The sequence below is a fragment of the Homo sapiens genome, chromosome X, assembly GCF_000001405.40.
Source record: "Homo sapiens chromosome X, GRCh38.p14 Primary Assembly".
NCBI lineage: Eukaryota > Metazoa > Chordata > Mammalia > Primates > Hominidae > Homo > Homo sapiens.
Genome location: NC_000023.11, coordinates 155,494,499 through 155,509,717, shown reverse-complemented (window position 1 = coordinate 155,509,717; position 15,219 = coordinate 155,494,499). Strand labels below are relative to the sequence as shown.

Sequence of the window (15,219 nt, the reverse complement as noted above, 5' to 3'; positions counted from 1 at the left end):
TATAACTTAAGAATGTTTGATTCAGGGAAGGAAGAACAAAGCAGCTTTTAGATATCCTGATAAATGTTATCAATATATGGAGAGATCAACAACCCTGCATCCTCATTCTAGTGGATACAGAAGGAAAAAAGAGGAAATGAGATAAGAAGCAGCTGTACAGGGGTTGAGGTTCAAATACTGACTAGCTCTTCCCTTTATGACCAACACCAGAGATAAACAACTGTTTGTGGCTTTAGTTTAATTGTTTGTAATCAATGGCAAGGACCAAGTAAATTAGCAGTATGGTAATAGCACTTAAGAGTTCAGGCTATGGCATCAACCAGACCCAGATTTGCATTCCAGCCTCAACATGTATTAGATTTGTGATCTTGGACAAGTAACTTAATTTCTCTGTACTTCAGTTTCCTCATCTGTAAAATGGGACTAGTAATATAAAACCTATCCATTAGCATTGCTAAGGAATTAAATTATATGATCATATTGCCTGACACAAACTAACCTATCCATTAGCATTGCTAAGGAATTAAATTATATGATCATACTGCCTGACACAAACTAAGTGTTCAATAAATATTAGCTATAATTTTCATCATTTTATTCATTTTAATCACTATCTTCATTGTTATATGCTTTACTCTCTCTAAAGCTATCTTTGCTCTGGATCTCATCCTTTCCAGCTTCCTTGGGGATTTCTCTCTCCTCTATCTTCAGCCTTTCCATACCTATTGACTCCTTCTTATCAGCCTCCCATATCTTAATTCTCTATTTTTGTACTTCCTTGGACTCTATCTCCGTTTAGCTACAGCCATGTTTTTTTCTTCCACTTCATGGCTAAGATTATTAAAAGAATAATAGCTACATTCAATATATTTTCATTCTCACTTCCCATTTACTCCTCAAACCCATAGGCATCTAGTTTTCCCAACCCACCCCTCACCGCAATTAAAGTTACTCTCTCTAACGTCACCAGCAACTAATTGTCATATCCAGTGTGTACTGTCATCTTACTTGATCCCTGAGACATACCATTAACCACTACTAAATTTCTTAAATATTCCTTCTTTCCTAGTTTTCTTCCTATATATCTGACCATTTTTCCTCAGCCTCCTTTGCTGGCTTCTTTTGTCTATTTCCTAAATATTATTCTTCCTCAAGGTTTTCTCCTTATCCCTCTTTTCTTACTTGAAATGATCTCTCCAAACGACCTCTTCCATGCTCTTGGCTTTAGCTATCACTTGTAACAAAATCCACCTCTCTTCCTTAAACATCTTTAACTGGTAACTAAATAACCCTGACCTAGAAGTTTCACAGAAATTTCAATATGGCCAGGCTTACCTTTCTCTTTTTAATTGTATTTATATTATATTAGATTGTCCTTGATTTTACTCCATATTTTTGTTTATTTCTTATTTTAATTTGCTTTTTACTTTTTCTTAGTTTTGCATATTTGATTAAATTACTATTAATTTTATTTTCCCTCATAAGTTTGAAAATTCTACCTTAGTTTTCCAGTCAATTAATAGTCACCTTACCTTTCCCTGTTAACATATTCAGAAACTGTATATGATTAGCTGTTCTAACATGCCTCTAAACTGAACTCCTTCCTCAACCTCTCATACTTCCTCATTATCATTCAACAGCATATCTGTCTGTAATCTCGGTCTTAGTAAATAGCATTATCATTTTTCAGGTGCCCAAGTGAGAAACCTGGAGTTATTCTAGATTCTTGCCTATCCTTCAGTTATCAAATTCTGCTACTTCTATCTCGGTATCTCTCAGGTGTGTCTTCTTCTCTATAACGCCCCTTTCTGAGTTCAAGCTCTCAATATTTTTCTTTACTATTTCAGTTGTTCAAGTTGGTTTCCAAGTTTTTTGTCACGTTGCTTCTCACCAGTCCATGTTCCACACTATCAACATAATGGACTCTTTAAAATATTGATATGGCCGTAGAGTTTCACAGTTTAAAATCATTTTGTGGTTCTCTGTGCTATGCCAATAGGAACTTCTTACTCCTTGTTGTTTTACATTGGTATCTTTGGTCATGCTTTCTCTCCGCCTAGAATGCCTTCTCCTCATCTCAATCTCCTTCTACTCCAATTCTTGCTCATTCTTTAAGATTAGTCAAAACAATTTTCATTCTTCTCCAAAACATTTCTTTATACAACACCCCGCTAGAACAGATCATTCCTTTGTTTATGACCCCACTATATCTTGTATGCAACTTTATTATAGTACCTATCATATTTTATTTGGTATTTATTTGCTTTAGTTCTTCTTACTAGACTATGAGCTTCTTGAAAATATAGGTTATATATTATTCATGCCTGTATTCCCAGGGCCCAGCACATATAAGCTTCAATATATGTTAGATATGTTTAGAAGAAACCTCTAGTGGCATTAATATTTCAAAACACAAAAAAGTACAACTGCCTATGAGAGAAAAACAATTAAGAAATGAGATTTCCAATTAGGAAATGAAAAGAAAATGACAAGTAGTTTCAGTAATCATTTTATATATAATTTCTAGAATTTTGATATGTTCTCTCTTCCACTGAACAGAAGAATTTTCTTTTCTCTCTTTAGCATTCAAGTGTTTCATTGTCTTAAACATGAAGGAACTGGTGGCAGGACACTGCTAGTAGATGGATTCTATGCAGCAGAACAGGTACTTCAAAAGGCACCTGAGGAATTTGAACTCCTCAGTAAAGTGCCATTGAAGCATGAATATATTGAAGATGTTGGAGAATGTCACAACCACATGATTGGGATTGGGCCAGTCTTAAATATCTACCCATGGAATAAAGAGCTGTATTTGATCAGGTGAGTATCAAAGAACTATCCCCAACTGTAATATATTTGCCAAAGATTAGCCTTCTAATGTAACAAAAATCCCTAAGATTCTTATATCTGCTACATTTTAATCTTGCTATTCTATAGCTTTTTATTATCAAACAGTTTGTATTCTTCTTATAATTCCCATGGAATAGTAAATAGCCACCAACCAAAGAATACTAGGTTTATTTTAGGGGTGGGGTCAAATATTAGAGGTAGTATTTTTTAAATGAAAACATTATTAAATGAAAAAGAGTTATTAAATTATCCTCAGTGACCAAACAGCTAGGTTACCCAACAACATTTATGTATCCAGCCCAGATTTATGCAAAGCTCTTGACCTGTGTATTCAATTGACTACTGATATCACAACTTAGATATTTTGTAGAATATAAAACATATCATATTCAAACGTGAACTCATCACTTCTACTCATTTTAAACCTACTTCTCCACTTGTTTTCCCATTTTCATTGAATGGTACCACCATCCACTAAGTTTCCCAAGCCATAAACCAAACATCATATTTAATTTTTCCCTCTCCCTTATATTACACAACCAGTCTTATCAACTCAATCTCCTATATTTTTCTCAAACTATCCCCTGCTTTCTATCTACAATGCCTCTTCTTGCAGTGAGAACACTTTTCTTTCCCATGGCTAAAGTTGTAACTGATGTCCTTGCTTCCATTGTGAGCCCTCTTCCATTAATTTTTCATGCTGAGTCTTATCTTCTGCTCCCATGTTAAGATCCTTCTAAACCTCCCCAGTGTCTTTCAGAGAAAGACTAGAGTCCTTCCTTATGGCTTTTAAGGTTCTGTATGATCTGATCCCTTCTTACTCTTCTAGCATGTAATTCATGTTTTCCATACATTCTTCCCTAGCTATTCCAAACTGCTTTGGGTTTCTGGAGCCCATTATTTTGCATCTTGCAGCCAAGCTTTTTACTATGCATTTTTGCAGATGGATTACCGCTCCTGCTTCTGCTTATTCCAAGCAAACTGTTACTGTGCATTAATTCAGTTTACTCAGCAAATATTTCATGAGCATCTACCAAGAGTCATGCTCTGTTCTTGACACTGCAGATGAAACTGTAGGCACAATAGACAAAAATTCCTGGCCATCTTGGAATTCTCATTATAGTGACGACAGAGTAATTAAAAATAAATAAGCAAATATATAATATATCAAATTGTGATAAGTACTAGGGAAAAACAAAAAAGCAGGGAAGGAGATATGGGGTGAAGAGGCAGGGTGAAGATAGCTGCAAAACTTGACATACTACAAAGAGTACAGGCTTTGTAATCAGAAGGAGTTCAGTGTGAAATCCTGTCTGCCATTTATTGATTTTTGGCCTTGGACAAGTTACTTAACCTGCTAGTCATGAGTTTCCAGTTACAATAATAATACCTTCTGTGCCCACTTGTTGTGAAGTTAAAAATAAATTGTTATCCTTACCTTTACCCCTGGCTTGTAGGAGGAACTGTGTAAATATTAATTTACTTCCCTTGGATAAGTTCCTCTGGGAAACTCTCCCTCTGTTATCTCTCATATATCTAAGTGCCTAAAACAATGAGTAGTAACTCTATTTTCCCAACATTTTATTATGAACATTTCTAAACATATAGAAAAGTTGAAAACATTTAACACAGAAAAGCCATAGACTTACATCTAGATTCTACCATTAAGATATTTCTATACTTGCTTTATCACCTATCTTCCCATCTATTCATTCATCAGTTAATCTTATTTTCAGTGAATTTTAAAGTATAATACATTGCAGATATCAGTACATATCTCCCTAATACTTCAACATTTATATCATTAAGTAGAGTTCAATATTTGCTTACAGCTTTTTAAAGTTACAATGTATATGCAATGATGTTTAAAATATTAAATATACACTCACTGAGTTTTGACCAATGCATATACCTATTTAACCCAAACCCTTATCAAGATATAAAATATTACTATCACTACAGGAAGTACTCTCATACTTCTGCACATACATCTCAGAGGAACCCACAGTTTGATTTTCTTTTACCACTATAGATTAGATTTTTGCCTGTTCTGTTTATCTCTTCTTTTATGAATACACATCTGGACTCTTTCCAGTTTCAGGTTATTATGAATAAAGTTGCTGTGAACATTCATGTAAAAGTGTTTTTTTTAATATGTTTTCATTTTCATTTCACTAAGGTAAATACCTAGGAGTGGAACTGCTGGGTCATAGAGTAGGTGAATGCTTAGTTTCATAAATAACTGCAACAAGTTTTACCAAAGTACTTGTACCATTTTACACTGTCATCAACAATGTATGAATTGTAGCTGTTCCAAGGACATGCCACACTCTTTTAAACGACCAACTCTTGCAATGAATTCAGAGGGAGAACTCACTCATTACTATGAGAGTGGTACCAAGCCACCCATGAAGGACCTGCCCCCATGATGAAAACACCTCCCACCAGGCCCTACCAAAACTTGTTTGCTCTTTGCTTTGTTTGCTTATAATAGTCATTCCAGTGGCTGTGAAGCGGTATCTTACGGTGATATTTTTCGATTTTAAAAATGGATTTAGAGGGTACAAGTGCAGATTTCTTACATGCATATATCGCATCGTGGTGGAGTCTGGGCTTTTAGTGTACCCATCACCTGAAGAGGGAACATTGTACCCAAGAGGTAATTTTTCAACCCTTGTCAACTTCCCACCCTTTTGTAGTCTCCAATATCTATTATGCTACTCTATATGTCCATGTGTACCCATTGTTAAGCTCTCACTTACAAGTGAGAATATGTGATATTTGACTTTCTGTTTCTGAATTATTTTACTTAAGATAACGTACTCCAGTTCCACTCATGTTACTGCAAAACACACGACTTCATTATTTTTTTATGGCTGCATAGTATTCCACGTATATGTAAAATGCAGATGGGTAGATACCCAGTAGTGAGATTGCTGGATCAAATGGTATTTCATTTTTTACCATGTTTAGTTCTTTGAGAAATCTATTTTTAGTTCTTTGAGAAATCTCCATACTGTTTTCCATAAATGTGATAATTTACATTCCCACTAACAGTGCATAAGCATTACTTTTTTCTCCACATCCTCACCAACATCTGTTGTTTTTTGATTTTTAAATAATAGCTATTCTGACTGGTGTAAGATAGTATTGTTTGGTTTTAATTTGCATTTCTCTGATAATTAGTGATATTGAGCATCTTTCATATGTTTGTTGGCCACTTGTATGTCTTTCAAAAAACACCCATTCATGCCCTTTGCCTACTTTTTAATGGCGTTACTTGTTTTTTGTTTTTGTTTTTGTCGTTGTTGTTGTTGTTGAGTTGTTGGAGTTTCTTGTAGATTCTGGATATTAGCCTTTGTTAGATACATAATTTGCAAATATTTTTTCTCATTAGGTAGGTTTACTCTGTTGATTGTTTCTTTTGCTGTGTGGAAGGTTTTTAGCTTAACTGAGTCCCGTCTGTTTATTTTTGTTTGTGTTGCATTTGCTTTTGAGGACCTGGTCAAAAATTCTTTGCCTAAGCCAGGCCAATGTCCAGAAGAATTTTTCCTACATTTTCTCACAGGATTTTTACAGTTTCATGTCTAAAGTATAAATCTTTAATCCATCTCGAGTTAATTCATGTATATGGTGAGAGACAGGGGTCCAGTTTCATTCTTCCGCATATGGCTAGCCAGTTTTCCTAGCACCGTATATTGAAGAGGGTGTTCTTTCTCTATTGTTTAATTTTGTCAATATTGCAGAAGATCAGTTGTTAATAGGTACTTTATTTCTGGGTTCACTATTCTGTTCCGTTGGTCTATATGTCTATTTTTATACCAATATCATGACGTTTTGGTTACTATAGCCTTGTAGTATAATTCAAAGTCAGAATGTAATACTTCAAGCTTTGTTCTTTTTGCTTAGGATTGGTTTGGCTATTCAGACTCTTCTTTCGGTTTCATATGAATTTTAAGTTTTTTTAATTATGTGAAAAATTGTGTTGGTAATTTGATAGAGACTGCACTGAATCTGTAAATTGCTTTGAGCAGTGTGGTCATTTTTAATAATATTGGTTCTTTTGATCCATGAGCATGGGATGTGTTTTCATTTATTTGTGTCATACACAATTTTTTCATCAGTGTTTTGTAGTTCCTCTTGTAGAGATCTTTCACCTCCTTGATTAAATGTATTCCTAGGTGTTTTATTTTTTGTGGCTATTGTAAATGGGTTCTTCATTTGGTTCTTAGCTTGAATGATATTGGTGTAGAGAAATGCTACTGTGTTTTGTACATTGATTTTGTATCCTGAAACTTTACTGAAGTTCTTTATCAAGTCTAGGAGTCTTCTGGAAGAGTCTTTTGGAGTTTTATTGTACATTATTTGGGGTTTTCAACATAATGGGGTATATTTTTCTCCTTTATAATATGTATGCCTTTCATTTCTCTCTCTCTCTCCCTCTCTCTCTCTCTCTGTGTGTGTGTGTGTGTGCGCGTGTGCGTGTGTGTGTGCATGTGTTATCGCACTAGCTGGGACTTCCAGGACTAACAGTGAATAGTAGTGGTGAGAAAGGACATCCTTGACTTATTTCTGATTTTAGGGGAAAATTACTCAGTGGTTCACTGTAGGTTTTCCATGGATAGCCTTTATTAGAATAAGGAAATTTCCTTCTATTCCTAACTTGTTGGGAATTTTATCATTAATTAATATTGAATTTTGTTGAATGCCTTTTCTGCATTTATTTATATGATCATTCGATGTTGCGTATTTAGTATGACAATATGATAAAATACATTGATTGATTTTTGAATGTTGAACCAACTTTGAATACCTGGGATAAACTCCACTTGATCTTGATGCATTATCTTTTTTATACATTGCTAGAGTTGATTGGCTAATATCTTAGTAAGAATATTTGTACCTATGTTTATGTGAGATATTGCTATTTTGTTTTTTGCTCGTAATATCTCTGTCTGAGTTTGGTATTAGGATGATGCTATCCTCATAATATGAGTGGGGTCATTTTCTCTCCTTAATTTTCTGAAAGAGACTGTAAAATTTGTATTACATCTTACTTAAATGTTTGATAGAATTCATGAGTGAAATTGTCTGGCCCGGAGTTCTCTTTCTTGAAAAGTTTTAAATTACAGATTCAGTTTCTTTAATGCATGCCAGGCTATTCAGATTATCTACTTTTCTTTGAATTAGTTTGTTTTTTTTTACCATGTGGGTTTAAGAAATTGGTTCATATAAGTTATCAAATATATAGGCATAGATTGATTGTAGTATTCCCCCTCTTATTCTTTTAGTGAGAACATTCAAAATCATCTCTTCTAGCTATTTTGAACTATACAACATATTATCGTCGACTATTGTCACCCTATTGTGCAATAGAACACCAGAACTTAATCCTCCTATCTAACCATAACTGTAACTTTGTACCCAGTGACCAACCTCTTCCCATCTCTCCTTCCCTCCTCGCCTCCCCTGCCTCTGGTAACCACTGTTCTACTCTCTACCTCTATAACATCAACTTTTAAATTTATATTTATCTTATTTTTATTTATTATTTTTGTGGTTACATAGTAGGTGTATATATTTATGGGTTAGATGAGATGTTCTAATATAGGTATGCAGTACATAATCACATCAGGGTAAAAATGGAGTATCCATCTCCTCAAGCATTTATCTTTGTATTACAAACAACCAAATTATACTCTTTTGGTTATTTTACTTTATTTTATGTTTTATGATTATTATACTTTAAGTTTTAGGGTACATGTGCACAACGTGCAGGTTTGTTACATATGTATACATGTGCCATGTTGGTGTGCTGCACCCATTAACTCGTCATTTAGCATTAGGTATATCTCCTAATGCTATCCCTCCCCCCTCCCCCCACCCCACAACAGTCCCCGGTGTGTGATGTTCCCCTTCCTGTGTCCATGTGTTTTCATTGTTCAATTCCCACCTATGAGTGAGAACATGCGGTGTTTGGTTTTTTGTCCTTGCGATAGTTTGCTGAGAATGATGGTTTCCAGTTTCAGCCATGTCCCTACAAAGGACATGAACTCATCCTTTTTTATGGCCGCATAGTATTCCATGGTGTATATGTGCCACATTTTCTTAATCCAGTCTATCGTTGTTGGACATTTAGGTTGGTTCCAAGTCTTTGCTATTGTGAATAGTGCAGCTATAAACATACGTGTGCATGTGTCCTTATAGCAGCATGATTTATAATCCTTTGGGTATATACCCAGTAATGGGATGGCTGGGTCAAATGGTATTTCTAGTTCTAGATCCCTGAGGAATCGCCACACTGACTTCCACAATGGTTGAACTAGTTTACAGTCCCACCAACAGTGTAAAAGTGTTCCTATTTCTCCACATCCTCTCCAGCACCTGTTGTTTCCTGACTTTTTAATGATCGCCATTCTAACTGGTGTGAGACGGTATCTCATTGTGGTTTTGATTTGCATTTCTCTGATGGCCAGTGATGATGAGCATTTTTTCATGTGTTTTTTGGCTGCATAAATGTCTTCTTTTGGGAAGTGTCTGTTCATATCTTTCGCCCACTTTTTGATGGGGTTGTTCGTTTTTTTCTTGTAAATTTGTTTGAGTTCATTGTAGATTCTGGATATTAGCCCTTTGTCAGACAAGTAGGTTGCAAAAATTTTCTCCCATTCTGTAGGTTGCCTGTTCACTCTGATGGTAGTTTCTTTTGCTGTGCAGAAGCTCTTTAGTTTAATTAGATCCCATTTGTCAATTTTGGCTTTTGTTGCCATTGCTTTTGGTGTTTTAGACATGAAGTCCTTGCTCATGCCTATGTCCTGAATGGTATTGCCTAGGTTTTCTTCCAGGATTTTTATGGTTTTAGGTCTAATATTTAAGTCTTTAATCCATCTTGAATTAATTTTTGTATAAGCTGTAAGGAAGGGATCCAGTTTCAGCTTTCTCCATATGGCTAGCCAGTTCTCCCAGCACCATTTATTAAATAGGGAATCCTTTCCCCATTGCTTGTTTTTGTCAGGTTTGTCAAAGATCAGATAGTTGTAGATATGCGGCATTGTTTCTGAGGGCTCTGTTCTGTTCCATTGGTCTATATCTCTGTTTTGGTACCAGTACCATGCTGTTTTGGTTACTGTAGCCTTGTAGTATAGTTTGAAGTCAGGTAGCGTGATGCCTCCAGGTTTGTTCTTTTGGCTTAGGATTGACTTGGCGATGTGGGCTCTTTTATGGTTCCATATGAACTTTAAAGTAGTTTTTTCCAATTCTGTGAAGAAAGTCATTGGTAGCTTGATGGGGATGGCATTGAGTCTATAAATTACCTTGGGCAGTATGGCCATTTTCACGATATTGATTCTTCCTACCCATGAGCATGGAATGTTCTTCCATTTGTTTGTGTCCTCTTTTATTTCATTGAGCAGTGGTTTGTAGTTCTCCTTGAAGAGGTCCTTCATATCCCTTGTAAGTTGGATTCCTAGGTATTTTATCCTCTTTGAAGCAAATGTGAATGGGAGTTCACTCATGATTTGGCTCTTTTGGTTATTTTAAAAGTATGATTAAATTATTTTTTTACTACAGTCTCCCTGTTGTGCTAGCAAATACTAGGCTTTATTCATTCTTTCTAACTATTTTTTGTACCCACTAACTTTCCCCACTTCCTCCTCACCCTCCCACTAACCTTCCCAGCCTCCCTTCTACTCTCTATCTTCATTTCAATTATTTAATTTTTAGCTCACACAAATAAGTGAGCACATGCAAAGTTTGTCTTTCTGTGCCTGGCTTATTTCACCTAATGTAATGTCCTACAGGCTTATCCATGTTGTCACACATGACAGGATCTCATTATTGGTTATGGCTGAATAGTACTCCATTGTGAATATGCACCACATTTTCTTTATCCATTCATCTGTTGATGGACACTTATGTTGATTCCATATCTTGGCTATTGTGAATAGTGCTGCAATAAACATGGGTGTGTTAGTCAAGGTTCTCCAGAGAGACAGAACCAATAGGATATATGAGAGAGGATTTATGAGGTGTAGTTGGTTCAGATGATTATAGAGATGGAGAAGTCCCACAATAGGCCATCTGCAAGCTGCAGAACCGAAGAAGCTGGTAGCACGATTCACTCCAAGTCTGGAAGCCTCAGAACTAGGGAAGCTGAGAGTACAGACCCCAGTCTGAGGCCAAAGGCCTAAGAGCCCACTGGAGGCTGTGGATGCAAGTCCCAGAGTCCAAAAGTGGAAGAAACTGGAGTCTGATGTCCAAGGACAGGAGGAGGAAAGAAATCTGGCTGCAGAAGGGAGATAGGATGAGCAGAGAGAGAGAATTCCTCCTCTTCTGTCTATTTGTCCCAACCAGGCTCCCAGCTAACAGGACAGTGCACGCCCGCATTGAAAGTGGATCTTACCTGTTGCAGTCCACTGTCTCACACACCAAGCTCCCCTGGAAACACTCTCACCGACACACCCAGGGAACAATGTTTCAACAGCCGTCTTGGCATCCCTCAATCCAGTCAAGCTGACTCGTAAATTGAACCATCACAATGAGAGTGCAGGTATCTCTCCAACATACTGATTTCATTTCCTTTTAAAATACCCAGTAGTGAGTTCTTTGGATCATATGCTAGTTCTATTTTTAATTTTTTGAGGAACCTCAGTACTGTTGTCCATATTGCCTGTACTAGTTTACATTCCCATCAACAATGTATAAGATTTCCCCTTTCTACACATCTTCACCAGCATTTGTTGTTTCTTTAACATAAAGAGTGTAAAATCACTTTATTAGAAAGTTTAACTAATCAGTCACAAATGAACAGCATTTTTGAGCACTAAACAGAGGATTAAAATAATTTCCAAACACTAGAGAAAATTATTGAAAATTCTAATATTTTAGGCTTAAAATATCATTACCCTCATGAAAGCAAAAATCCTATAGATGATATTTTCTAATATATATATATATTCTAAGTACTATGAAATTATAATAGAAATCATCAATTAAAGTGTAACAAGTAATATCTAACCACGGGCAAATTTCTTTTAAGATCACTTTATTATATTTTATGTTATTAAATTAAATTTTGATTTTTTTAATTATTATGGGTAAATAATAGTTGTATATATTTATGGAGTGCATGTGATGTTTTGATACAGGCATACAATATGTAATGATCAAATCAGGATAATTGAGGTATCTATCATTTCAAGCCTTTATTATTTCTTTGTGTTAGGAACACTCCAGTTCTACTCTCTTAGTTATTTTTAAATATACAATAAGTTATTGTTAACTATAGTTGCCTTATTGTGCTGCCAAATACTAGATCTTATTCATTCTCTCTGTGTTTGTACATACTAACCATCCTTACTTTCAGCCTATTTTTTGTCTTTTTAATGATAGCCATTGTAACTGGGGTGAGGTGATATTGTGGTTTTGATTTGCATTTCCCTAATGATTAGTGATGTGGAGCATTTAAAAATATACCCATTTGCCATTTGTCTGCCTTCTTTGGAGAAATGTCTATTCAGAACTTTTGTCCATTTTTAAGGGAATATGTCTTTTTTGGTTATTGAGTTTGAGTTCCTTATATACTCCGGGTATTAATCTCTTGTAGATGCATAGTTTGCAAACATTTTCTCACATTCTGTGAGTTATCTCTTCACTCCGTTGATTGACTGTTTCTTAGAAATTTTCAAATTACGATACATTGTTATTAACTATAGTCATCACATGGAAAAATAGATCACTTGAACTTATTTCTCTGATCTAAAATTATGTATCCTCTGAGCAACATATCCCCAACCACCCAACCACTACTCCACAACCCACCAGCCTCTAGTACCCACCATTCTGCTCTCTATTTCTATGATATCAACTTTTTTTTTACATTACACATATGAGTGAGATCATGCAGTATTGATATTTCTGTGCCTGGCTTATTTTCACTTAATGTTCTCCAGGTTCATCCATGTTGTCACAAATGACAGGACTTTCTTCTTTTTCAAGGATGAATAGTATTCCACTTTTTATGCATACCACATTTTCTCTATATACACTCCCATGTATTCTGCCTAGATTGATTTTATATCTTGGCTATTGTGAATATTTCTGCAAAGAACATGGAAGATATCTCTCGGACATACTGATTTCATTTCCTTTGGGTATATACCCAGTGGTGAGATTGCTGGATGATGTAGTAGTTCTACTTTTAGCTTTTTTTAGAAACCTCCGTATTGTTTTCCATAATGGCTGCACTAATTCACATTCCCACCAACAGTGTGCAAGGGTTCACTTATCTCCACATCCTCATCAACATTGTTATCTTTTGTCTTTTTAATAATAGCCATCCTAAGGCGTATGAGATGATATCCCGTGGTGGTTTTAATTTGAATTTATCTGATTACTAGTGATGTTGAGCACTTTTTCATATACCTCTTGGCCATTTGTATGTCTTCTTTTGAGAAATGTCTATCCAGATCCTTTGCCCATTTTTAAATCAGGTTATTTGTTTTCTTACTATTGAGTTGTTTGAGTTCCTCAAATATTTTAGATATTAACCCCTTATCAGATGTATAGTTTGCAAATACTTTCTCCCATTCTGCAGGTTGTCTCTTCATTCTTTTGTTTCCTTTGCTGTGCAGAAGCTTTTCAGTTTGATGCAATTTCATTTACCTAGTTTTTCTTCCGTTGCTTATACTTTTGGATCATATCCAAAAGGTAATTGTATAGACCAATATCATAGAGTTATACCATGTGTTTTCTTCTAGTAGATTTACGGTGTCAGGTCTTACATGTAAGCGTTTAATCCATTTCTAGTTGATTTTTGTATATGTTGTAAGAAAAGGGTCTAATTTCATTCTTCTGCATGTGGACATCCAGTTTCCCCAGCACCGTTTATTGAATGTATAAGAGTTCTTTTCTCTCCACATACTTGCCAACGTCTGTCATTTTTGGTCTTTGTAATAACAGCCATTCTACAATGGCCATATTCCCATACTGTGGGTTGTTTCTTCACTCTGTTGATTGTTTCCCTTGCCTCACAGAAACTCTTTAGTTTAATCCAGTCTCATTTGTCTATTTCTGGGTTTTGTTTCCTGTGCTTTTGGGGAATAAAATCTTTTCCCAGAGCATTATCCTGGAGAGTCATCCCGAGGTTTTCTTCTAGCATTTTTATAATTTCTATAGCTCCTCCAAGGTCACACACCTGAACTGAGATTGTAATGGTGATCTAACTGAAAGCCTATTTATCTACCTATCTGAAAGCCCACCAGCTTTCACTTACACCACAATACACAAATCCATCAAATGCATCGTCTGCTCAATTATGGAGCTCTCTTGGGAAATACTTGTCTGTCAACTAAGAAGAAGGATAACTTTGTTAAATCTTCCTAGCTTTTCTTGTCAGATAAATGCCTGCTTTATTTGCTTTCCCCTACTCCCACGTCTCTCTTGCTTCATATCAAAGCAGGAAAAAAAGGAAAAACTGCACAATAATATGATGGCATCACTTTGTGCCAAAGTCCAGAAATAGTCTTATTCTAATCCAAAGTATTGCACAACCATTTTGCTTATGTGTAATAGACTTTTCCTGCTACTTTCTCTGTTGGCTTTAGAAAACACCACCATCTAATATAAATAGTGAATACCAAATTCCATGTAAGCTTGGACAAATCACAAGGTCTTATCATTATTTTCCTTATCTATAAAGTAAGACAATAACAGCTGTACTACTTACCTCACGTGGTTATCATGCAGAGGGTCAATCAGATAGTGTATATGGAAACATTTCTAAACTGCAAATCTCAGTTTGAAGTCAAAAGATTGTAAGTGTGATCTGTAAAAATGTTGCTCTCATGAACAAGCGTACACAGGAATTACGATCATTTTTCTGTTCTCTGGTATAAACAATGAGTTAAAGAATTAAGGACACCTGATTTCAAAACCTCTCTGCTACGTATGAACTCTGTGGCAGGTCTCTAAGTTTCAGTTGCCTTAAATGTAAAAGGAGGTTAATAACACCTTTCCTTCTGGGATGATGAAATAAGTAAATTAAATAATATTTTCACAAATGCCTAACCCAGCACTAGAAGTTTCTGGAAATGACAATGGGTGTCAACAGCCTGGTGAAGACTGTGCTTCCTCACTCCATTCTCCCTCCAGGCATGGCTCCTTGAAGCCTGGGAGGATGGACTATTATATTCTTTTTCTTTCTTTCTTTCTTTCTTTTTTTTTTTTTCTTTGAGACAGAGTCTCGCTCTGTCGCCCAGGCTGGAGTGCAGTGGCGCGATCTTGGCTCACTGCAGCGTCCGCCACCCAGGTTCAAGTGATTCTCCTGCCTCAGTCTCCCAAGTAGCTGGGACTACAGGCGCGTGCCACCGCGCC

At 35.8% G+C, this 15,219-nt stretch overlaps 1 protein-coding gene across 6 annotated transcripts in view; it reads left to right on the top strand.

The window, feature by feature from the left end:
• Positions 1-15,219, top strand: part of TMLHE (trimethyllysine hydroxylase, epsilon) — a 123,942-nt gene that overhangs the window by 103,235 nt on the left and 5,488 nt on the right. For all 6 annotated transcript variants that reach the window (XM_047442235.1, XM_047442234.1, NM_018196.4 and 3 more), the window contains one exon: positions 2,584-2,820. In XM_047442235.1, coding sequence (XP_047298191.1) covers positions 2,584-2,820 — 237 coding nt within the window. The remainder of the gene's footprint in view (positions 1-2,583; positions 2,821-15,219) is intronic.